The sequence below is a fragment of the Homo sapiens genome, chromosome 8 (genome assembly GCF_000001405.40).
Source record: "Homo sapiens chromosome 8, GRCh38.p14 Primary Assembly".
NCBI lineage: Eukaryota > Metazoa > Chordata > Mammalia > Primates > Hominidae > Homo > Homo sapiens.
Window position 1 is genome coordinate 88,804,302 of NC_000008.11, and position 25,082 is coordinate 88,829,383.

The 25,082-nt window shown below is 33.3% G+C and overlaps 1 long non-coding RNA gene across 1 annotated transcript in view; it reads left to right on the plus strand.

Annotated features, from left to right (window-relative positions):
- LOC105375630 (uncharacterized) overlaps positions 1–25,082 on the plus strand; it is a 559,756-nt gene that overhangs the window by 476,458 nt on the left and 58,216 nt on the right. The window contains exon 4 of the long non-coding RNA XR_001745653.3: positions 21,363–21,439. This is a non-coding gene — a long non-coding RNA (uncharacterized LOC105375630). The remainder of the gene's footprint in view (positions 1–21,362; positions 21,440–25,082) is intronic.

The following is a 25,082-nucleotide window of genomic DNA, read 5'->3' on the forward strand; positions in this document are numbered from 1 at the left end:
AAAGATAATATACTAACTTGACTTATATAAGATGTTAACGTTAGGGGAAACTGGGGGTAAGGACTTTACACAATCTTCGCAACTTTCCTCAAAATCTAAAATTATTCCAAAAAAGATTCATTAAAAATTAGAATATTAACGAGTCCTCCTCATGTTCAGAAGAAGGGAAAATAAAAGGAAATTTACATCTCTAAATTTTTACAAATAGTAATGCTATTACCAAAATTTTAGTGGAACATCTAAGTCGTTATCAAACTTTGCTTTAAATTATATATTGTTCCCATTTTCCTAGCAAGTGAACAGCAGAGAATTAGTACTCAGAATATAATGCCATATTGTAATAAGTGTTTATTTTCTAAGTCCTAGCTAAGAAAAACATAAAGCCAAACATGCTTGTAATCCCAGCACTTTGGGAAGCCGAGGCGGGCAGATCACTTGATCCCAGGAGCTGGAGACCAACCTGGGCAACATGGAGAAGCCCTGTCTCTACTAAAAAAAATAAAAATACAAAAATTAGCCGGATGTGGTCGCACGTGCCTGTAGTCCCAGTTACTTGGGAGGCTGAGGCAGGAGAATCGCTTGAACCTAGGGGATGGAGGTTGTAGTGAGCAGAGATCGTGCCACTGTACTTCAGCCTGGGCAACAGTGAGACCCTGTCTCAAAAACAAAACAAAAAAACAAAAAACTTCTGTGTGCTCAGTTCCATACAGTGTATTTAAATAGTAGGTTATAACACAGAAGTTCCTTGGTGAATGCAATTTGTGAAATAATAATACTAAGATATGTATTACACTGCTAGGTTTTGTCTTATGTCCAAAACATTCATACTGAAGTGATTACAGGCTATTCACTTATTAAAAATACACTGACATTTTTATTTTTCCCATATCATTCAGAAATAAAACTATTTTATCCAGAAATTTGCTGCCAAGAAAAATGCCAAAATATGTCCTTGAATAATTAATATTTTGGAAAACATTAATAGTTATGTAATAATTTCATCCTTAATACTACATTGATATATATAAATAAATGATATAAATAAATGCTGCCTCATTTTAGGGTCCATTCTGAACACCCAATCTAAGGCAATCCCCTCACCATCTAGACTGCTTATTATTTTAATATCTATGTATTTTTAGTACTTATCATAATTTTTTGTTGAACATTTCAGAAAAAGTTATTTAAACTGTGCCTAGAACACAGTTAATGCTTTAAATTACTTGTAGTATTCATATATAAATATATATTAATATATAAACATATATTTATATATATTTAAATATATATTAATATATAAACATATATTTATATATATTTAAATATATATTTATAAATGTATAGATAATAAACATATATTTAATATTTATATTAAATATATATTTAAATATATATTTAATATTTATATATTTATAAATATATATTGATATATTTTTACAGGATTTTATACTTATATATTATATTTATATATTATATTATATATATTTATATATTATTTTATTTTATATTTATATATTATATATAATTACATATAAATTATATATTTATAATATATAAATATATATATATATTAGGGTATCTAAATATTTCCATACCAATGTGTAGACTCAAAAAACTAGTTCTAAAAATTAATGTGTTATTGCTGACAGTAGAAAGTAACACCATATAAAAGGGGTACTAATCACGATATCTAATTCACACAAGTCTCTTATACTGCAGCATAGCCCTCAAATGTAATTAGATACTATAATTTATATAACTTTAACTTCTAATTTATATGATATGTTTTGCTTACATTGATGTGGTGAAATCACATAATTTTATAAATATGCATTCATTTAATAATTTGTTTATTTAATAAATATTCATTGAGTTCTTATAAGGTATAGGCTTTGTCTAGGCTTTCAGGATATAATGGTGAAAAAAAATAAACAAGTGTCTAACCCTCAAGAACTTAAAAATCTGTGGGAAAAGTAAATAGGAAACTTTTAAAAATTACAAATAATTTAAAATATTAACTATGTTCTAGGCACAGTTTAAATAGCTTTTCCTAAAATACTCAAAAATAAATTGTGATAAGTAATAAAAATATATAGAATATTAAAATAATAATGAGCAGTCTAGATTGTGAGGGGATTACTTTATATTGGGTGTTCAGAATAAACCTTAAAATGAGGCAGCATTTACTGAAGGAAAGGTGAAAAAAGTTAGCCATGCTAAAAGCAGTAAAAAATATTCTAGAAAATGTTATTATTACAGGCACCTAACTTAATAAACGAGAGATTAAAATGTGTAATGACTAGAAGGAATGTTATAGGAACAGGTTTTATCATAAGACTTCATTATCACTGGCCTTGGTAAACAAAAGAGATTAGAATTTTCAAGGACAAGTGGGTGGAGACTTAAAACATGGATGTTGTGCAAGTGTACCCTAGAATTTAAAGTATAATAATAATAATAATAATAAAAGAAGCCAAAAAAAAGAAAGCATGGGGAAAGTCTTAGCATGCGCTTAGTATGTGCGAGACATACTACATTATTTATATGGGTTATCTTATTTAGATCTTACATCCACAGAATGTGGTTTTAAAAACCAGGTGAATATTTCAAAGGTTACATAACTTGCTAAAAGCCATAAAGCTAGTTTAAGAGATTTATCCAGGATTCCAAACCAGCAGCCTAATCATCACAATTATCATATCATCACAGTGACTGCCGTCATTTTATTACTATTAACTGCAGATTTCTATCTGAATGTTTTTGTCAGTCTCCATGTTTTAGAACTCTCTTGAATCACTCCAGTGGAGATTCTCCTAATATTTCTATGTTTTCAAAATTTCAAAAACAAATTGTTGAGATTAATTAGTAAGGGTCTGGGAAGACTTGGCTTTGATAACTAACATTAAATAAGACAAAAAAGAAAAAATTAGCAAATTCTATAAACTCTCTCAAGGAAGATCTTTTAGCAAAAACTTAATAGCCAGTTCTATTGTTTACATATTGATTTGTGGGTGTTTACTTATCTGTTTATCAATGAAGAGTCATAATCTACAAAGTATATTCTGCAGTTTTCAAACCAATTATTGTTCTTTGTTTGAGTTTTCTAGCAAGAATCTTAGTTGGCTTGAATAATAAGTTTTCAAAATCTTTATGTATGACTGAAGCAAGCTTGTCTAAATCTTTTAGAATTTGAACATGTTGGGTTCATGTAGAAATAAATAAACAATTGCCACGTAACTGTTTCTTTTAGGTAGAAACCAAAGAACTCTGACAGAAGTTATTTCTGTTTTGAAGAATTATTATAATTTTTTTAAAAAAAATTCTGTTTTGATTTAGAGATAAAAGACCTTTGAAAAAATTCCAAACAGCTTCACATAAGCTTCAGAGTTTGAGAAAGCTTACCTCGCTGAATTAAACATTAGATACTTTTGATGTGTGAGTGTTTCTTCCTCAATCTTCGAAAGAGCCTTGCTTAAATATTTAAGCCACAGTATACAGTGTCAAGTTTAAAAAGAAGAACTTTTACATCGAACTTGAAAATAATAAATTCAAGCTTCAGTTAAGCATTTGGATGGATTTGGGAAGCATCACAGGGACTCATGCAGGTGATGGTCTGGTAGAATTAGAAGTAATGTTTTCCTTCATACATACACTTTGCAATAAGTCTGAAGCAAATGCAGACCATTTTTCTCCTAGGATTCTTCACAGTTTCTGCCATTAGTCATACCAAGCATATGGAAATAGAAATATAAATTTTAATGTAGCATGTATTTCCAGAGGATGTAGGGCTATGATAGGAGAACCTCTTTTACTGTCTATTCTTAAGTCATTAAACAACATGACTATCATGGTGTTCAGTAAATTCACTTTTCCAGTCTGACCTCCCTCCTAAATTGCTCATCTCACATATTAACAGGGCAGAGCAGTTCCTTTTTACCTCAAATTCTTGAAATAAATTAAGACACCATCTCTAAGTATTTCATTTTCACCTCCTATTTTCCTATGAGTACAACAAATTGGAAAATTTAAAGACATTTTTAATACTCTTTTCTTTCAAATATACATTGTCATCATTTCTAGATATTATTCTTTACACAAATGTGTTGATTCATCCATTCTGACCCATTCTCACCATAATCAAGAGTCCTACCACTTCACAATAGTTTTATTGGAACATCCTGTTAGCTAGGCTAAGATTATTTTATTCTTTTCTAAATGACTCTAAAAGTGTTACTAGATTATTTTAGTAGTTACTTTTAAAAGCGCTTTGTAAAACAGTTGCAGTCTAAGCTTTCATTCCATATTCATGAAACCCTTTTCTAACTATTGTAACAAATCCTAAAACTATATCTCTTACAAACAAATATTTAAGGTATTCTTTAATTCAATATACATTTGTTTACACCTTCTTCATATCAGTCATAGGCATGATGTACCCCCAAACTATTTATGTGTCCTTCACACAGAATATTTGTGTGGATCTTGTCCCTGTGGAGTTTAACCATGGAGTCACGACAAAGTATAACCTCAGTGCTTAGCACATGGCTATAAACATATTAAACACCCGATAAATATTTGTTGAAATAATGAATGAATGCATAGAGAAATAATGGTGAAATGATTGATTTGAAAAGGTAACAACAGAAAGCTGTGTGTACAAAGGTAGCATGAAAGACCGGAAAACTGATTTTCTCTAGGTACTTAAGAAAGGCTTCATTACTTGATATTGAAGCTAAGTCTCAAAGGGTAATAGATGCTAAGGGCATTTCAGGCAATGGATATATGTAAAATTCCCAATCATAAAGTAACCTAGAGGTTTGAGAACCAGCAATCATTCTGCGATTTTGTAGGCTTCAGGGACCGCAACAGTCAAGTAGTGGTAGGTGGGATTTTAGTCACCAGAGCTCATCTGTGACTATGGCTGTAGCGTTTCTAAAAGGAATAAAAACAAAAGATTCAGTTTTAAAAAGAAAATTCAGGCAGTGGGGGGTGGGTTCGCGGGGCTACAATAGAGTGACAATAAATTATGCACAGAAGAAACCAGTAAAACACATACGTATTTATCCAGTCAAGACCTGATGAGATAATGAGATGAGATGGTGGCATGAGCATTAGAGTGGATGAAGCAGAATTGACAGGTTTCTAAGTTAGAATAAAAGGGAAGAAGGATTTGCAGATGGAACTTGAGGGAAGGGGTTAAATATAGGAAGAACTGTAATTTTCTGCCTTGCATAACTCAGCAAAGATTTATGCTCTTAAAAATAAGTGGATAGAACGTGCAAAATGTATTTAAACATTTCCCGTGGAATTGATTGCTCCAAATTGGATTGTAAGCCTAATGGAAGTTTAAACCAAATATTATACTTGTTTTATGTGGATTAAAACTTACATTAACAAAAAACTTGAAACTTTCTGTAACTTCACATTCTGGTATATACTAGGTTGCCAATTCAAAGAGTATATTATATAGTATTTATAAGTGTTTAAGAGAATGGGCTTAAGAATAATATGAACTTAGATTCATATAGGTTAAGTCTTGATTTCTTCATCTGTGAATTGATGACAATAGTCACTACTTCTTATAATATTTGGGCGGATTAAATGAGAAAACAGATGTAAAATTATAGTAACCACTCAAAATATTATTTAATATAAGTATTAATGAGTAATAATATTTATATTAGTATAATATTAATATTTATCAATAATGTATAATAGAAATATTTACATTTTTAAGCATTATAATTAAATTTTTTAAACAAAGAATAATTACCAAAAGTTTTTTATTTTTAATAATTTACATAAATTTTCTGCTTCATAGTACAAATACAATCATTTCTGGAAACTAAAATGTTAATCTTAATATTTTCTCCAAAATTATAGTTTGCCAAACATTTTCTTGGAAAGAAATATTGACTCATAAAATTGCTATCCAAAATGATTGTTTAAATTGCTATAAATGTTTGCATAATGCTTTCAATTTAGAAAAGGTTAGAGAGATTCACTACAGAGAATTATATTTGCATCACAATTTTAAAGAAAATTTGAGGCAAGAAAGAGTTGCGTTAACTGAAAAAGCCTTTTCTAAATATTGGAAAAAAAGGTTAAGTTTGAGGGCCTTGAAACAAGAAAGCTCATTACCTCTTTTAATAAGATGCTTTAGGAGGTTTACCGTGAGCCTCTCTGTGAGTGTGGAGAAAAAACTACATGGTGGAAATTTCAACACCTTGACAATCAATGTAGGAATGTCCTGGAAGACATGAAACATCAATATTTTTTGGTGCTTTCAAGCTTACATTGAAAATAGATTAAAACACATTATAAAGAAAAGATGAAAATTAACAGCGCATAACACAATACTTAAACACAGAATCATTGGTGTGAGAAAAATTTAAAAATTACTTTATTTAAATTACGTAAATTCTTGCCCTAGAGATAAAATACTATGATTGTCTTTAATCTGGATAGAGGGTAAAGGAAGCCACTGAAGAGACAGCAAATAACAAAATGTAGTAAAAATAATCTCAATAAAATTAAATTCAATAATATATTATATATAACATATATCTGGTATGAAGATAATGAATTAAGGCAGAACATTTAAAAGTATTAACTAGTTCAGGTGTATATTTTTCAACTGTCACAGAGATATCTTTAAGGTGATTGAGAAGCAGTGATAAGTATTGCAAACCACTAAATACAAACTTGTGAAGTTATTTACTGAATTCATTCATCTTTCTTAGTAATTTTTTGGTAGTATCTTTGAAGCAGATGATAACAAAGGTTCATTTGTTTAGTTTTTAGTTTCCTCCTCCTCATATGATTATCATAATGTTTTATGAATTGTTGACACAGCTGTAAAACACAGATTATTATGTAAGAAAAATACCTAAATACCTATGAATGCAAGTAATTATAACCATTACTATGAAAAATAAAATATAAATGAGTTTCAGAAAACAACTTACAAGGGCAAGGAGACGGGGTCATCTCCATGCTTTCCTTGTTCACTGTTGCAAACACAGCAGAGACTCTTCTCACTGGGGGTGGATGTATGCACTTGGAGAAAGCCATTCCAGCCCTTCCTGTGGCAGTTCTATCCCAGTTGAAAGTGAGTTTGTGCAGCTAGTTCTTGCATGAAGGATAGTGCTCAATTCCTGCTTCCTACACAGAGTAACAGCATCCCAGCAACAGAGGCAGACAAGCCAGAGTAGTCAGTTCTGGACTATGAGAAAAGGCTCTGCCCTGAGCCCAGTTAGGTGAAAGCTGCTAGAGGGGCATATTTGTAGTCCACAGCCACACAGGACGAAGTCTGTATAAACTGAAAGTCCTGAGCCCTGTGACAGGGGTGTGATAGGGAAGTGGATTGAATTATTGTCTTCCCACAATGAGGAGGTGTTGCATTCCCCAAGTCCAGCCCAGAATACCTTAGCACACTCCAACACAATCTCCCACCACCACTGGCCACATGAGAGCAGGTGCTTCTACTCATCATCACCTACCTGAGGGCAATCAAGCTCTTACAATTAACTGCCACCTACTGAACTGAAGCTTGAACTGCACAACCAAATAAAAAACTTGCTTCCAGAAGTGCATAGTGCTAGTGCAGTAGATAAGCATCCTGATACCTGCACATTCTCAGCCCTGCAGGAGAGAATTGTTGGTTCATGCATCCAATCTACTGCGAAACAAGTAGTATCAACGAAAACCACCAAACAAACAAACAAAAACCCCAACCAAGGAACCCATACAAATACTTGGCCTTCTAAAACAACCTAGAAATAAAGTTAAACAATCATACAAAACATAAACTACAGTCATACCCTCATGGGAAAAAAAGAATTTAAAAATATAAAAGTCCCATTCAAACAATAGCAGATTCAAAAATAAGAAGGAACAGCTCCTTCAGATGAGATGGAATTAGTGCAAGAATTCCAGCAGTGCAAAAAACAGAGTATAGTGATACCTCCAAAGGATTATACTAGCTCTCTAGTAATGACTCTTAATCAAAATAAAAAGTCTGAAATGACAGATAAATAAATCAAAATATGGACTGCCAGGAAACTCAATAAGATAAAAGAGAAAGTTGAAAACCAGCACATACAAAAACAGAAAAACAATTTAGGATATGAAAGATGGAATAGCTATATTAAAATAATAGAACTTCTGGAATTGACAAATTAACTAAGTGAATTTCAAAATATAGTTGGAAGCTTTAACAATAGACTAGACCAAGCAGAAGAAAGAATTTTAGAGATTGAAGAGTGGTCTTTTGAATAAAGCCAGTCAGACCAAAATAAATAAAAAAGAATTTTAAAAAATGAATATAGACTTCAAGAAATATGGGATTATGTAAAGTGACTGTACCTATGACTTATAGGCATTATTGAAAGAGAATAAGAAAAAATAAGCAATGTGAAAAATATATTTAGGAGAATAATCCAGAAAAAATTCCCTAATCTTGCTAGAGAGGTGGATATCCAGATTCAAGAAATTCAGAGAACACTTGTGAGATACTAAATGAGATAAGCATCACAAAGGCATATGGTCATCAGACTATCCAAAGTCAATGATAAAAAAAAATCTTAAGGGCATCTACAGAAAAAGAACAAATTATTTATAAAGGAAATCCTATCAGATTAGTAGTAAACTTTGCAACAGAAACCTTAAAAGCCAGACAAAATTGGGAGCCTATTTTTATCCTTCTTAAAGAAAAAAAAATATCAGCCAAGAATTTTATATCTGGCCAAACTAAGCTTCCTAAATAAAGAAGAAATAAGGTCTTTCTCAGTCAAGCAAATGCTAAGGGAATTTATCACCACCTGACCAGATTAGAAGCCCACTAGCTAGATTACCCAAAAAAAAAAAAAAAAAAAAAAAAAAAAAAGAGAGAAAGAGAGAAGGTTCAAATAAGTATAGTCAGAAATAATAAAGATGACATTATAACTGATAAAACAGAAATACAAAAGATTCTCAGAGACTATAAATATCTCTATGCACATACACTAGAAAACCTAGAGGAAGTGGATAAGTTCCTGAAAACACACCACCTTCAAAACGTGAACTAGGAAGAAACTGAAATCCTAAACAGACCAATAATGATTTATGAAATTGAATCAGTAATAAAAAACCTACCAACCAAAAAAGCCCTGAACTAGATGAAATCAAAGCCAAATTTACCAAAAGCACAAAAAAGAGTTGGTATCAATCTTACCGCACTATTGCAAAAAATTTAGGAGAAGGGATTCCTTCCTAACACATTTCACAAAACTAGTTTTATTCTTATATCAAAATCTGGCAAGGACACAACAAAAAAGAAAACTACAGGCTAATATCCCTGATCAATATAGACACAAAAATTGACAATAAAATACCTGCAAACTAAATTTAATAGCACATCAAAAAGATAATCTATCATGATCAAGTGAGTTTTATTCTAGGGATGTGAAGATGGTTCAACATGTGCAAATTGATAAATGTGATTCACAACATAAACAAAAATAAAACCAAAACCATATGGTCATCTAAATAGATGCAGAAAAAACATTTGATAAAACCAAACATCACTTTATGATAAAAGCCCTCAACAAACTAGGCATCAAAGAAACATACTTCAAATTAATAAGAGCCATATATGACAAATAACAGCCAACATCATACTGAATCAGGAAAAGTTGAAAGTATTTCCCCTAAGAACTAGTACAAGACAAGCACTCTTACTACTCCTATTCAACACAGTACTGAAAGTGCCACTCAGAGCAATCAGACAAGAGAAAGAAATAAAAGGAATCAAAAGGAGAAAAGAAGAATTCAAGATATCCTGTTCACTGATGGCAAAATCCTATAGCAAGAAAAATCCTAAAGATTTCTACAAAAGAGTCTTCAATTTGGTAAAGGATTTCAGCAAAGTTTCAGGATACAAAATTAATGCACAAAAATCAGTCACATTTCTGTACATCAACACTCAAGCTGAGAACGAAATCAAGAACTCAATCCCATTTACAATAGTCACAAAATAGTAACATACCAAGACATAATTTAATGAAGGAGATGAAAGACCTCTACAAGGAGAACTACAAAACACTGATGAAATAAATCACAGATGACACAAAGAGAAAAACGTTCCATGCTTATAGACAGGAATAATCAATATCATTAAAATGTCTATATAGCCCAAAGCAATCTACAGATTCAATGTAATTCTATAAAATTGCCAACATAATTTTTCACAGAATTAGAAAAAACTATTCAAAAATTCATATGGAACTAAAAAAATCCTGAATAGCTACAGTGATTATAAGAGAAAAGAACAAAGCTGGAGGCATTACAATAGCTGACTCCAAACTGTACTACAAGGCTGTAGTATCCAAAACAGTATGGTACTGGTACAAAAATAGAGAAACAAATGAATGGAACAGAATAGAAAACCAAGAAGTAAAGCCATACACCTACAACTAACTAATCTTTGAAAAAGTTAGTTGTAAAATGAACAATGGGGAAGGGACACTCTATTCAATAAATAGTGCTGGGAAATCTGGCTAGGCATATGCAGAAAAATGAAACTGAACCTCTACCTCTTGACGTGTACAAAAATTAACTCAAAATGGATTAAATACATAAATGTGAGACCTGAAACTATAAAAATTCTAGAAGAAGGCCTATGAAAAACTCTTCTGGACATTGGCATAGGCAAAGAAATTATAACTAAGACCTCAAAAGCAAATGCAAGAAAAACAAAAAAAGACAAATGCAACTATGAAATGAAGTAGCTTCTGCACAGCAAAAGAAACTCTCAAGAGAGTGAACAGTCAACTTGGAGAATGAGAGATAATATTTGCAAAATATGAGTGTGACAAAGGACTAATATCTGGAATCTATAAGGAATTTAAACAAATCAAGAAGAAGAAACCAAATAACCCCATTAAAAACAGAATATAACATGTACATAAACATGTACATAACATGAACACAACATGTACATAAACAGGCACTTTACAAACGAAGACCAACAAGTGGCCAGCAAATTTATGAAGAAACCTCAACATTACTAATCATCAGGGAAATACAAATTAAAATGAGATTCAGATGGTATCTGCTACCCTTCAGAATGGCTATTATTAAAAAGTCAAAAAATAACAGATGTTGTCAAGGATGCAGAGAAAAGGAAGCTCTTATACACTGTTGTTGGGAATGTAAATTAGTTTATTAGTAAATGTAAATTAATTCATCCCTATTGAAAATGATATAAAGATTTCTCCGAGAACTAAAAATAGAACTAACATTTGACCCAGCAGTCCCACCACTGGGTATCTACCCAAAGGAAAATAAACAATTTTATCAGAAAGACACCTGTACTTGTATGTTTATTGCAGCACTATTCACAATAGTGCAGTCATGGAATCAACCTAAGTGTCCATCAGTGGTGGATTGGATACAGAAAATATGGTATATATACACCATGGAATACTATACAGCCATAAAAAAGAATAAAATCATGTCCTTCACAGCAACATGGATGGAGTGGGAGGCCCTTATCCTAAGTGAAATAACTCAAAAATAGAAAATCTGATATCACGTTTCACTTATAAGCGGGAGCAAATTAATAGGTACACAGGGACATTAAGATGGAAATAGTAGACACTGAGACCACAAAAGACAGGATGATGAAAGAGGAAAAAGGATTTAAAAACGACCTATGGGGCACCTTGTTCACTATTTGGGTACTGAATTCACTAGGTGGCCAAATATCACCATTACACAATGTGTCCATGTAATAAATCTGCGCATATATCCCCTGAATCTAAAATCTAAAATATCTGAAGGGAAGGGAAGGAATAAAGAGTAGCATTTTATGTCTAGTGTTCCCATCTCACTGTTATTATTGTTTTAGGTTATTGTGAAATTAGATGGTTATTTCATATCCTTGGGACCTACTATCAAAAATTTCTTTTTTTCTCTCTTCCCTGTCTCCATTAAGATGAGGCAATAAGCAACAAAACCAAAATCTGAGGCCAGATTTTGATGTGGCATACTAATGTAAACCATGTGTCTGATAATGTCAAAATCATGAATTAAGTCCAAAACAGTCTCCAACTAACTATAATTCCAGCATTCTAGTGTTTAGTCATGTTTAAATAATAGAAGTGTCAAGTGAGGCTTAAATTATTTCTCTGACTTGAATTAGTAAAGAGGAATATGAAAATACAAACTGATCTCTTTTCTACTATTTTAATCCACGTTTTAGATGGGTAAATAAAAAGAATTTGACACAATCAACCACGTTAAACAAAAAGCTTCCTTTAAATCATCTCAATACTAATCAAGTTCATTTATAAATTGTAGTATTGTTATGCAAATAAAATACAGGAGACTGAAGTTCAGAGTTAGCTAGTAATTTCAGATGATATTTTTAAGGTTACCAATCAAGTTGCTAATTTTACATACATTATTTTTTCTGTTGCATTTACATCCTGAGAGAACTAATTTCTTAAGTAGAAGGTGTACATAAGGAAACTTAAAGGTCATTGGATTTTATATCAAATGACTTATTACCCAGGTCCTAGACATGCAATTTTATATCTTTAAATATTTCAAAAACACGAAGCCATTTTTTCCCTTTTGGATATTATGAAAGTAAATGACTTATTTAAAAATATAATATTTTATTCAGTACTATTTTTAGAGGGTTGCTTCACATCAGCACATTAATAAGCATCAAATAATTTGAAATCTAGGAGAGGAGAAAGTGTACTATGCCTGGAGCCAAAAATAAATTTCTCCTCTCCTCTCCTCTCCTCTCCTCTCCTCTCCTCTCCTCTCCTCTCCTCTCCTCTCCTCTCCTCTCCTCTCCTCTCCTCCCCTCCCCTCCCCTCCCCTCCCCTCCCCTCCCCTCCCCTCCCCTTTTCTGAAAAGCTCTCCCACCAATTAAATGCCAGGATAATAGATTCTAATCGTGAAAGCGTATTTGAAGATGTGTAAACAAAGTGATAACAAAAAGCATAATGGCTTTATTTTTTGATAGACCTGCATAGATGAAGGCCAATTGTCAGATAGAGTCCTGAAGTTGTCTGGCGTTCCTTAAATGACAAATGCTGGCTTGTCCTGAATGTTGCATTCAAATTTGCCAGAAAAATAAGCCCCTCTGGCCCTATCGTACTTAAAGCATTGGCCTTTGGATATACTTCTACATTTTATTCTTAAATTACATACAATAAAATTTATTTTTTTCACAGTTTTATGCTCATGCTATTACTTTGTAGTCAAACACTCAACCTATGCACCTATCTTTCATCTCAGGCAAGCGTTGATCTTGTCTTCATCCAGTGGTGGTCAGGTTTATGTTTAACTACTGGACATAAAAAATGGTTTGCCTATATATTAATACATTCATTTATTATACGTTTTACTGATGTAAATAATGAAGGCACACAATTTACAAATAATAATAGATTATATTACCCCATATTATAGATTCCATATTGGCAATTGGTGCCCACAAATGCTTTTGTTGATTTTTGCTGGACTCCTGTCTCTGAAGACACACTATGGCCATATTTCTGATAGGACAATAAACATGTTGGTTGGCATTTTCATTTAGGCAATGAGTAAGATGTAATTGGAACAAGGAAAATATATGCCTTTTTTTTTTTTTTTTTTTTTTTTTTTTTTTTTTTTTTTTTTTCGAGACAGAGTCTTGCTCTGTCTCCCAGGCTGGAGTGCAGTGGCGCAATCTCAGCTCACTGCAAGCTCTGCCTCCAGGGTTCACACCATTCTGCTGCCTCAGCTTCCCGAGTAGCTGGGACTACAAGCGCCCGCCACCACGCCCGGCTGATTTTTTTGTATTTTTAGCAGAGACGGGGTTTCGCCATGTTAGCCAGGATGATCTCGATCTCCTGACCTTGCTGCGATGCGCCCGCCTCGGCCTCCCAAAGTAAGTGCTGGGATTACAGGCGTGAGCCACTGTGATCGGCCGGAAAACATATGTCTTAAATGACATTTCACATAAATGGAGCTATTCACTATGTGGACTTTTGTGGCTGGCTTCTTTCCTATGGCAGAATTTCATTGAGGTCCAGCCACATCGTGGCACATATCTGTACTTCTTTTAATTTCTCAATAGTATTATATGGATAGGTTACATTTTGTTTGCTCACAGGTTGATAGACATTTGGGTCATTTCCAATTTTGGCTGTTGTGTACAATGATCTTTTTGCATACTCTTCTCCAAATAAATTCAGTGTCTTTCAGCAAAGTAACAGGTCTACCCAATATCATGGCTTGCCCTTCCAGCCAGGGAAGAACTTAAATGCCTTGTAGATTGGTGGGGAGATGAAGGCAACCCTGGATGAAACGCCACAATATCCTGTTCTTCTGACTGAGATCCAGTAGATTTTCTTTAATACATTCTTCTCAATTTGTTGTATGCCTTTTGTCAATTTCCAGAGACTGTAAACAGTTATTATTGTCAATTTTTTACAGTTTTATCATTGCACATTGGGCACATATTTTGCCAAACTCCTGACAGACATGTCGGAATGCCTACTTCCCAGAGTCCTTTTTGTTTGTTTGTTTGTTTGTTTGTTTGTTTGTTTGTTTCTTTCTTTCTTTCTTTCTTTCTTTCTTTCCTTCTTTCTTTCTTTCCTTCTTTCTTTCTTTTCTTTCTCTTTCTTTCTTTGTTTGTTTCTTTCTTTTCTCTTTTTTCTTTCTTTCTCTTTCTTTTCTTTCTCTCTCTTCTTTCTTTCTTTCTTTCTTTCTTTCTTTCTTTCTTTCTTTCTTTCTTTCTTTCTTTCTTTTCTTTCTCTCTTTCCTCAGGGTTGTTTTTGCCATTGCCAGCTATATCCTTTTAAATTTGAATTAAATTTACCCTAAATATTTATTGATCCCTACCTTATGGTAGATTCTAGGCTTGAAGATTAGTAAAGGGGAATAGAAAAGAAAAAGATGAATTAAGTTCCATTCTACATCTTTAAAAAGCTCTATATCTAGAAGAAACAGACAAATACGTAAGGGAAAAAGTGCTGGGAGAGAAGATGTATTATCCGTCATAGATCATATCTAATGTGGGGTATTTTATTATTCTTGAAGTGAAAAGTCATGGGAAATACTCTCAGTAGATAATGATTGAGTGAGACTAAGAAGTTGAATAGCATACATAGAAACAAGGATGATTAAAATTTTATTGAAAGAAACGAATACTTGAAATGTCAAAAGTATGAGTAGAGAGTAGAAGTAAGTCATGGGCAGCATATGTTAGAATCATATAGTGAGGGCACTTTAATGCCATACTGTGAATTTTGGGCTTCCATTATGGAAGTTACATGGTCAGATTTGTTTGTAGAGAAATAACCTCCATGTATGTGGTCAACGGATGAAAGGTGAACAAGACTAGGTTATTATGTTGAGATTTTTCCTGAAGTTAAAAGTCACATTTGTGTGTCATGCCACTGAATAAATTAATCAGTGGCTGTACCAAGGAAATGACTGGGGGAGATTTGGGACCTCAATTTTTCTCCAGAACTGTAATTATTGTGTGAATACAGTATTAATAGTTGTCTTTAACTTATTCATCTAAACAGATTGCCTAACATAACACTATATTCCCCCATAAAATTATGGACTCACAACTGTAGATAGCCAAACATAGATCAGGATTGGGTGTAACAAAAGGCGATTTTCAACCTTCTTCATGTTGTGGCTTATCTTGCTTCTACAGCATGTATAAAGTGTATTCTTGCCTCATACTTTTACAAACATTTCTGGACATAATTCTCCCATAGCCCACTTGAAAGATAGTTATTGCTTCTGCTTCAAGACTTTCCACTTCCTGGAAAGAGTTCTTTTTAAATTTATGAACAAAATTATTTTCAGATGAGAATAAAGGACTAAATATTTACACAATTGCCTTAGCCTTGATAAAATAATAACTCGAAATGGACTATGAGAGACAGAAATAAAAACAACATAGAATACAATAACTTTTCCAATTTGGTTACTTTTCTCATCTTATAGTAGACATATTTCACAGAAAATTTGTAAGAATTAAAGAAAATAATGTACACTGCCATCCTTAGCAAGCTCATAAGTGTTAAATAAATGTTATTGTGCTAGTATTGTAAATTATTGAGGGAGAAGCAGTGTCTCATAAATGAAACCCTGTTTGTTCTAGGAGTTCTGGGTTTTAATCTTTGCTCTATCATTCAGTTTTGCAATCTTCTGCAGCCCCTTAGATAGTGTGAAAATAGGTGGTTGCACTGTAAGATTTCTACAGTGTCATTAGTCTCTTATATGAAGAGTTGTAAAAACTAGAAAAGCAAATTACAATAGAAAGCTAAATCACAAAGCAATATATCACTTTTGTGATATTATCCTAGGTAGGTAGGTTCCCACTTCTACAATAAATTTTTCAATAAGATAAGATTGCTGTATGAGAAAGAGAATCAACAAAGGAGGATTAAGAAGAGGAATGTGCAGATCTCTGAAAAGTACAAATTAAGTCTGTTTCTACTAGACTAGATCACATTACAATTTAAGCGAATGTGCTGACACATCTAGAGAAAGAATATGTCAAGCCTAGTAAGAGTGTTTCCTCCTGGAAGCATAGGAGAGAAACACTAGAAAATCTCATATTCAGAAAAATCCAAGGGGAATTAAGCATTGGTAAAACTAAAAAATAAAACAAAAATGTATTTATATGGACATTTATTCAACAAATACTTTAAATATCTGTTATATGCCACGAACTGAGACATGGTTCGTGCTCTATAAGCACTTAACTTCTCTCTGGAGATGCATGACGTGCTATAAAAGGAAATTCTAGAGGCAACAGATTTCCAGTAACAGAAATAGGTATCTGAGAGTGTCAGGGGAGACCTCTCAGAGAGAGACTTGGTTAAAGTAATCCAAGATCAGCGTCAAGATTGACTCTTAAGGTTCAAACTCAGACATTCAAAAAAAAAAAAAGAATAAAAAGAGAGAATATTAGTGTCACAACTAAGACAGTAAACAAAGGAGGTTGGTATATTTGTAAGACAACCAAGAGAATGCCTAGTATTTCATTGGATATAGATATAGATACCTCAAACTCAAGAGAGAAAGCTGGGAGTTACCATTATATAGATAACAATGAAAGCCATGGTGAATGTAATCACTGATTGTCATAGAGTCACAGAGTGAGAAATAACCACAGGGAATTCAAAGTCTCCAAAAAAAGAGCAGGGAAAGAATCCACAAAATAAATGGATAGGTATTCAATGAGAAGGGAGAAATCTAAGTAAACATGGAATCAAGTAAGTAAAAAGAACTCTCAAGAAGAAAGTTAGAGTCAACACTCTTAAATTTTATAGAAAAATCAAGAAAGATTATATCTGAAAGATATATTTTAGTAGAGTTGAAGGAATTCCTTTTCTTTACCTTGTAAGTAAAACAAGAGCCATTAGGTCCCACTTTGATCTGATTCCATTAACAATGAACAACTTTCTAATAATAGCTTTCCCATATGCCATTTCTCTGGAGAGAGATAACACTGCTCATAGCACTAGTACTGCCCAATAAAATAAGCAAGTTTATTTATCATTATATTTAAAAAGCTTTTTTTCCTGAAGATAGAGTGATCTTTGAGTATCTTGCTTAAAGTGCTAGCTAGATGGCTAAACACCAGTCCTTTTTCTTAGAGTAAACTAAAACAAAAGTATATTCTTGTATCATAAATTAGTTTAGTATGTCTTATTAGAAAACTCTTAATATGGGACACATTAGAGTTTATGAGACAGTAAGACTAATGGAAAAATGTCAAACAATGGTAAATTTACCAGCATAATTCCATCTTGTGAGGCTTCCTGGGGAAGAGTCAACTTGCTTTACCCAGATAATTCTTCTAAGCATTGAAATGTAAACAATAATTTTATTCTTCAAACTTCAGCACTTTTTATATCTGAGACCCAAGTTTAAACCAATATCTCATAAAGTACATTTGAATAAATCTCCTTAATATCAATTCTGTCTAGTTACTTAGCAAACACATGTAGAAATAAATCCAATAGAAATGTGTTTATCTTTAAATAACTCCCTTCACTGCCTCTTATACATTGATTATAATCTCCAAATACAGAGGAATTCCAATTTTTCATAAATATATTTGTTAAAAATATAGTCCGTAAATATGACTATCTCTAAGGTAATGAATAAAGATGAACTTGGAGAATATATTGAACAATCTCAAAGAGATAATAAATGAAACTGAATCTAAAACATTATTTAATAGTATACTTCTGAACTTTCAGAATCTCAAAATAATATTCAGCATCACATTGATAACTTCATTTAAAATGCTCAGCACTATGAGTTGCAACATTGATAAAACTTTGTTTAGAAAATATGCTTTCTAGTAAGGCTGACGTTTCTAATTCTTGATTGTTTATGGGGAGATAAATTAGATACAGGAATATTATAAACAAGATATTTGATTAGAGGCCTAATTTGGGGCATAAAGTTTTGAGTCAGAACTTAGCTTGACATTTTCTTTTGGATGCAGAAGTTTAAAAATGTAAGCCAAGTCCTATGGGGCTTAAGTTCATTTTAGCAAATAAAGTTGTATTCACTTTATTTGGTGATTTTTAGGTAGTTTTAATGTTTAAAAACAATTTAAATTTTATAATTAAAAAACTGTCTCCCAAAGACTAAATTTTAGTATCTGTTTCACTAAAAAACATAATATTTCTTCTACTGAAAAGATATTCAGTTTTTGTCCACATTCAAATATAGGACATGCTCATTTATGAGAAAGTTAATATTGAAGAGAACAAATTGTGGATTCCTCTATCTAAAATTTTGAGACAGCATCCTAGCTTACCACAATGTTTTAGTTTGTTTAGTGTTGCTCATAACAGAATACCTGACCTGAGATTAGAAAGTTTATAAAGAAAAGAGGTTTATTTGGCTCACGATTCTGGTGGCAGAAAGGTTGAAGATTGGGCAGGTGAATATGGTGAGGGACTCAGGCTGCATTGTTCTAGAGAGGGAATTCATGCTGTACCCAAGCTGCTCAAGCATGACACCATTTTGAGAGCAGAGACAACACTGGACTACATCTTGACCTAGGGCCCAATATCTCCTGTATCTCCACATGTCTGGGGCCCTGCTAACATCCCCTCACATCCACCCAGAGGGCTGCAGCATTATTGTGCTGACTGGAGCCAGGGGCAGTCACATCACTGGAACCCAAACTGCTTGCACAACACCCTACAACCCTGGGGAACAGGCAGTCCAGCGCATCAGGAAGTCTGCCCTCAGGACATAGAGAACTGAAGTATGCACTCCTTAGAGCCAGAAAGCAGTCTTCCCAGGGCCACTTCCACAGACAGTGACCCCACTCCCTTCCAGCAGCAAGGCCAGGGGCCAGAGGTTAGCTAGCCCTTGCAACCCACTCAGGGCCCAGGGACTGGCCTGCTTACCCCGACATGGTTACTGCTGGTGTCCATTCACCTCATGTAGAAACCCTGGAAGCAGACTTTCCAGCCTACTGGTGCCTGTGCATGCCACCCAGAGATTCAGAATCTGGCCCACCCAGCCTACTGTTGCCATCACCAGTGCCCACACACCCTGCATAGGGCCCAAAGAGTGGCCCACCTGAGGCACACACCACTGCCACTGCCAGTGTCTGCACATGCCACTTAGATGACTGAGGACCAGCCTACTCAGTGTCCCCCTCCTCATCTCCCACAAAGTCTCACCACAGTGTCCATAAAAAACCACACAGTCTGAGCCACAAAAATAAAGAGCTCACTGGAAGAGAAGATACACAAAGGAGAAAGATAAAGGAATCAAACATTATCACTACGGAAAGCCATCACATAAGGAATAAGGAAGGAAGAAATAGACAAAGCATATACAAAACAACCAGAAGACAAGAAACAGAGGGATAGGAATAAGTCTTCACTTACCAATACCAAGCTTGAATGTAAATGGTCTAAATTCAAAAAACTGATCTGCTGAACAATTAAAAAAAAGACCTATCTATAATTTGCCTACAAGAAACTCACTTCACCTGTAAAGTCATATATAGACTAAAAGTGAGGGACAGAAGAATATATTCTGTGCAAGCAGAAGCCAAAAATGTGAAAAAGTAGCTATACTTACATCAGACAAAATAGGCTTTAAGACAAAACCATGAAAAGAAACAAAAAGGTCATTACATAGTTAAAAAGGAATCGATGGAGCAAGGGGACATGACAATTGTAAATAATATATACACCGAAAACCAGAGCACCCAGAGGTATAAAGCAAGAATTATTAGAGTGAAAGAGATAGACTCTATTTACATAATAACTGGGGACTCAACACAAAATAGCATGTTAACATATGAAGTGATGTTCAACATCATATACCACTGCAAATTAAAACAATGAAATACCATTACATATCTACTATTAGTTGGTGAAAAAGTAATTGTGGTTTTGCCATTAAAAATAATAGCAAAAATTCAAAACACTGACAAACACCAAATGCTTATTAGAATGTAGAGTATCGGGAACTCTCATTCAATGCAGGTGGATGCAAAATGGTACAGCTACTTTACAAGGTAGTTTGACAATTTCTTATTAAATATGCTTTTACCGTGTGATCCAGCAATAATACTTTACCCAAAGGAGTTGAAAATTTATGTCCAAACAAAAGTTTGTGCATGGATGTTTATAGCAGCTTTAATTGCCAAACCTGGAAACAATCAAGATGTATTTCAGTAGGTAAATGAATAAATAAACTGTAGTGCATCCAGACAATGGAATATTATTTCATACTAAAAATATAAGCATGACATTATATGGACATTATAAGACATTAAAATACATGGAAGAAACTTGAGTGCATATGGCTAAGTGAAAGTTAATCTGAAACAGCTACATACTATATAATTCCAACTATATGACGTTCGGGAAGAGTTAAAATTATAGACAGTAAAAAAAAAAATCAGTGATTTCCAATGTTTAGGAGAAAGGAAGAATGGATACACAGAGCACAGCAGAGTTAAGGGTGGTGAAACTGTTCTGTATAATACCATAATGGTACATATATGCCATTGTACATTTGTAAACCTCATAAAATATGCACCACCAACAATGAACCCTAATATACACAATGGTCTTTGAGTGATAATGTAGTTTAATTGATTATAACAAATATACTACTCTGGTGCAGAATGTTGATAATGGGAACTCTCTGTACTTCCTGCTCAATCACTATGAACTTAAAATTGCTCTAAAAATAGGGTTTATTAATTTAAGCAATTAAGGAAAAATAATGACCTTTAATATAAACAAAAGAATTAATTAATAGCAAAATAAACTATAAGAAACAATTTTTTTTTTCAGAGAGAAGTAATACGACACGTAAAGAAACCTGGATTGAAACAAAGAAATGAAGAACACTAGAAATGAAATAAATAAAGGTAAAATAAAGTTTTTAAAACATTTTTAATTGATCTAAAGGACCAAATACAACATCATGGATAAATCTTAGTAATATGCAATATGATACTATTGAGTTTAAAATCAAGTAAAATAACAGTATTGTGTCTAAGCAGGTATATATATACATATAATATATGTACATGTATTTATGTATAGTAAAGCAATATTCTAATGATATGAATAAAAATATGCAGGAAGATGTAATGGAAAAAAGTGGTATTTTTGCAATTTATTCCTTAATAAATTAAGGAATTTATTTCTTGATAAATCAAAGAATAAATCCATACATAAATAAATAAATTCATCCTTTCATGGATAGATTATTATTTTATTTTATTTTATTATTATTATACTTTAAGTTTTAGGGTACATATGCACAATGTGCAGGTTAGTTACATATGTATACATGTGCCATGCTGGTGTGCTGCACCCATTAACTCGTCACTTAGCATTAGGTATATCTCCTAATGCTATCCCTTCCCCCTACCCCCACCCCACAACAGGCCCCAGAGTGTGATGTTCCCCTTCCTGTGTCCATGTGTTCTCATTGTTCAATCCCCACCTATGAGTGAGAACATGCGGTATTTGGTTTTTTGTCCTTGTGATAGTTTACTGAGAATGATGATTTCCAATTTCATCCATGTCCCTACAAAGGACATGAACTCATCATTTTTTATGGCTTCATAGTATTCCATGGTGTCTATGTGCCACATTTTCTTAATCCAGTCTATCATTGTTGGACATTTGGGTTGGTTCCAAGTCTTTCCTGTTGTGAATAGTGCCGCAATAAACATACGTGTGCATGTGTCTTTATAGTAGCATGATTTATAGTCCTTTGGGTATATACCCAGTAATGGGATGGCTGGGTCAAATGCTATTTCTAGTTCTAGATCCCTGAGGAATCGCCACACTGACTTCCACAATGGTTGAACTAGTTTACAGTCCCACCAACAGTGTAAAAGTGTTCCTATTTCTCCACATCCTCTCCAGCACCTGTTGTTTCCTGACTTTTTAATGATTGCCATTCTAACTGGTGTGAGATGGTATCTCATTGTGGTTTTGATTTGCATTTCTCTGATGGCCAGTGATGGTGAGCATGTTTTCATGTGTTTTTTGGCTGCATAAATGTCTTCTTTTGAGAAGTGTCTGTTCATGTCCTTTGCCCACTTTTTGATGGAGTTGTTTGGTTTTTTTCTTGTAAATTTGATTGTATATCTAGAAAACCCCATTATCTCAGCCCAAAATTTCCTTAAGCTGATAAGCAACTTCAGCAAAGTCTCAGGATACAAAATCAATGTACAAAAATCACAAGCATTCTTATACACCAATAACAGACAAACAGAGAGCCAAATCATGAGTGAACTCCCATTCACAATTGCTTCAAAGAGAATAAAATACCTAGGAATCCAACTTACAAGGGACGTGAAGGACCTCTTCAAGAAGAACTACAAACCACTGCTCAATGAAATAAAATAAGATACAAAGAAATGGAAGAACATTCCATGCTCATGGGTAGGAAGAATCAGTATCGTGAAAATGGCCATACTGTCCAAGGTTATTTATAGATTCAATGCCATCCCCATCAAGCTACCAATGACTTTCATCACGGAATTGGAAAAAACTACTTTGAAGTTCATATGGAACCAAAAAGGAGCCCGCATCACCAAGTCAATCCTAAGCCAAAAGAACAAAGCTGGAGGCATCATGCTACCTGACTTCAAACTGTACTACAAGGCTACAGTAACCAAAACAGCATGGTACTGGTACCAAAACAGAGATATAGATCAATGGAACAGAACAGAGCCCTCAGAAATAACGCTGCATATCTACAACTATCTGATCTTTGAAAAACCTGAGAAAAACAAGCAATGGGGAAAGGATTCCCTATTTAATAAATGGTGCTGGGAAAACTGGCTAGCCATATGTAGAAAGCTGAAACTGGATCCCTTCCTTACACCTTATACAAAAATTAATTCAAGATGGATTAAAGACTTAAACGTTGGACCTAAAACCATAAAAACCCTAGAAGAAAACCTAGGCATTACCATTCAGGACATAGGCACGGGCAAAGACTTCGTGTCTAAAACACCAAAAGCAATGGCAACAAAAGCCAAAATTGACAAATGGGATCTAATTAAACTAAAGAGCTTCTGCACAGCAAAAGAAACTACCATCAGAGTGAACAGGCAACCTACAAAATGGGAGAAAATTTTCTCAACCTACTCATCTGACAAAGGGCTAATATCCAGAATCATGGATAGATTATAATTGCATAGTGAGAACTGTAAAAACTCAGCATTATGAGTATTCTAATTCTGTGCAACTGAATTCCATTTTAAAAAGAATAAACAATAAAAGAAAGTGTAAGGTAAAAAAAATCATGAAAAAAAATTTAAGAGATTTGGAGACATATAGATTGAAAATTGAGAAGGCATTTGTAAACAATAGGAATTTCAGGGGAAACAGAAAATAGCAGAAAGAAGAAGGGCAGCCAATATTCCAACATACCTTTCCAGTCTTCTCTGCCTTAATTTTTCTATTCAAGTTTTCGATTTCTTCCTGAACAATTCATTCATGTACTAGATTTCCGTAAACACACAGATCTATTTTGAACTCAACTGTTCTATTTGTTTATCAAAGTTAATACATGTTTTGATCACAGTAGCTTTAGAATATAAAGTATTAGCAGTTAAATTGAGTTTCACTAGTCCTCAAATTCATAAATTCCTATTTATTTTTGGAAATCTATTCCTTCATAAAAAATTTAAAATTCCAAAACTTGGGATTTTGTAGAAATTGAAAGAAAATTTATAACTGGGAGAAAATACAAAGAAACACATGAGTATTAAACATATTTATAGCTTTGACGTGGTGTCATTACATACAATATTGCCTCTTTTCACTTATTAAGGTTTTCTGTTTTTTAGTAAAATTTTATAGTTTTTTTATCTCTAAGTCCTATTATTTATAAATAATTTTAGGATTTATGCTATTTTAAACGGGATTATCCTCCATTTGATTTTTTGCTATGATTTTTGTGTATTAACCTTCTGATTACTTCTTTTTACTAGGAAATGAAATCTCAAAATGGCCAGGTGGGAGGTCTCGCCTAGAGTTCAACTAAATCGAAGTATTTTCATATTCCCCAGTGGAAGCATTTCCTTGTAGGATTTTTATACATTACAACCAGTAGAGCTGAGAAGCAAACGTTTTGTGATTAGGTCATTAAGAAAAACAATACAAAATGATATTTTCATATCTACCTTCTAAATGATTCTGAAAACTAAATACTGTAGCTGTGGGAGAAACGGATTCACATGGGTGCATGCACACATACATACACAGGCAAACACACACAGCAATGTATACACACACATTGGATCCTGCAAGATAGCATTCCAACCCACCTCACAGACATTCTCTCCAAGATGGTATTATTATAACTGAATTATAATAAGGTATACTAACATGCATTAAAGCCAGCTACTTCTCAATAATGTGCCCAACGGCATTGCCAGTTAATCCTTTGGGCATTGGTTTATTCTCCTTTTCTTTTAACTGTCAAGTTAGCTCTTGGTCAGAAGCAATATGTTGTGAGCTATCTCGACAGTGTTTGAAGTA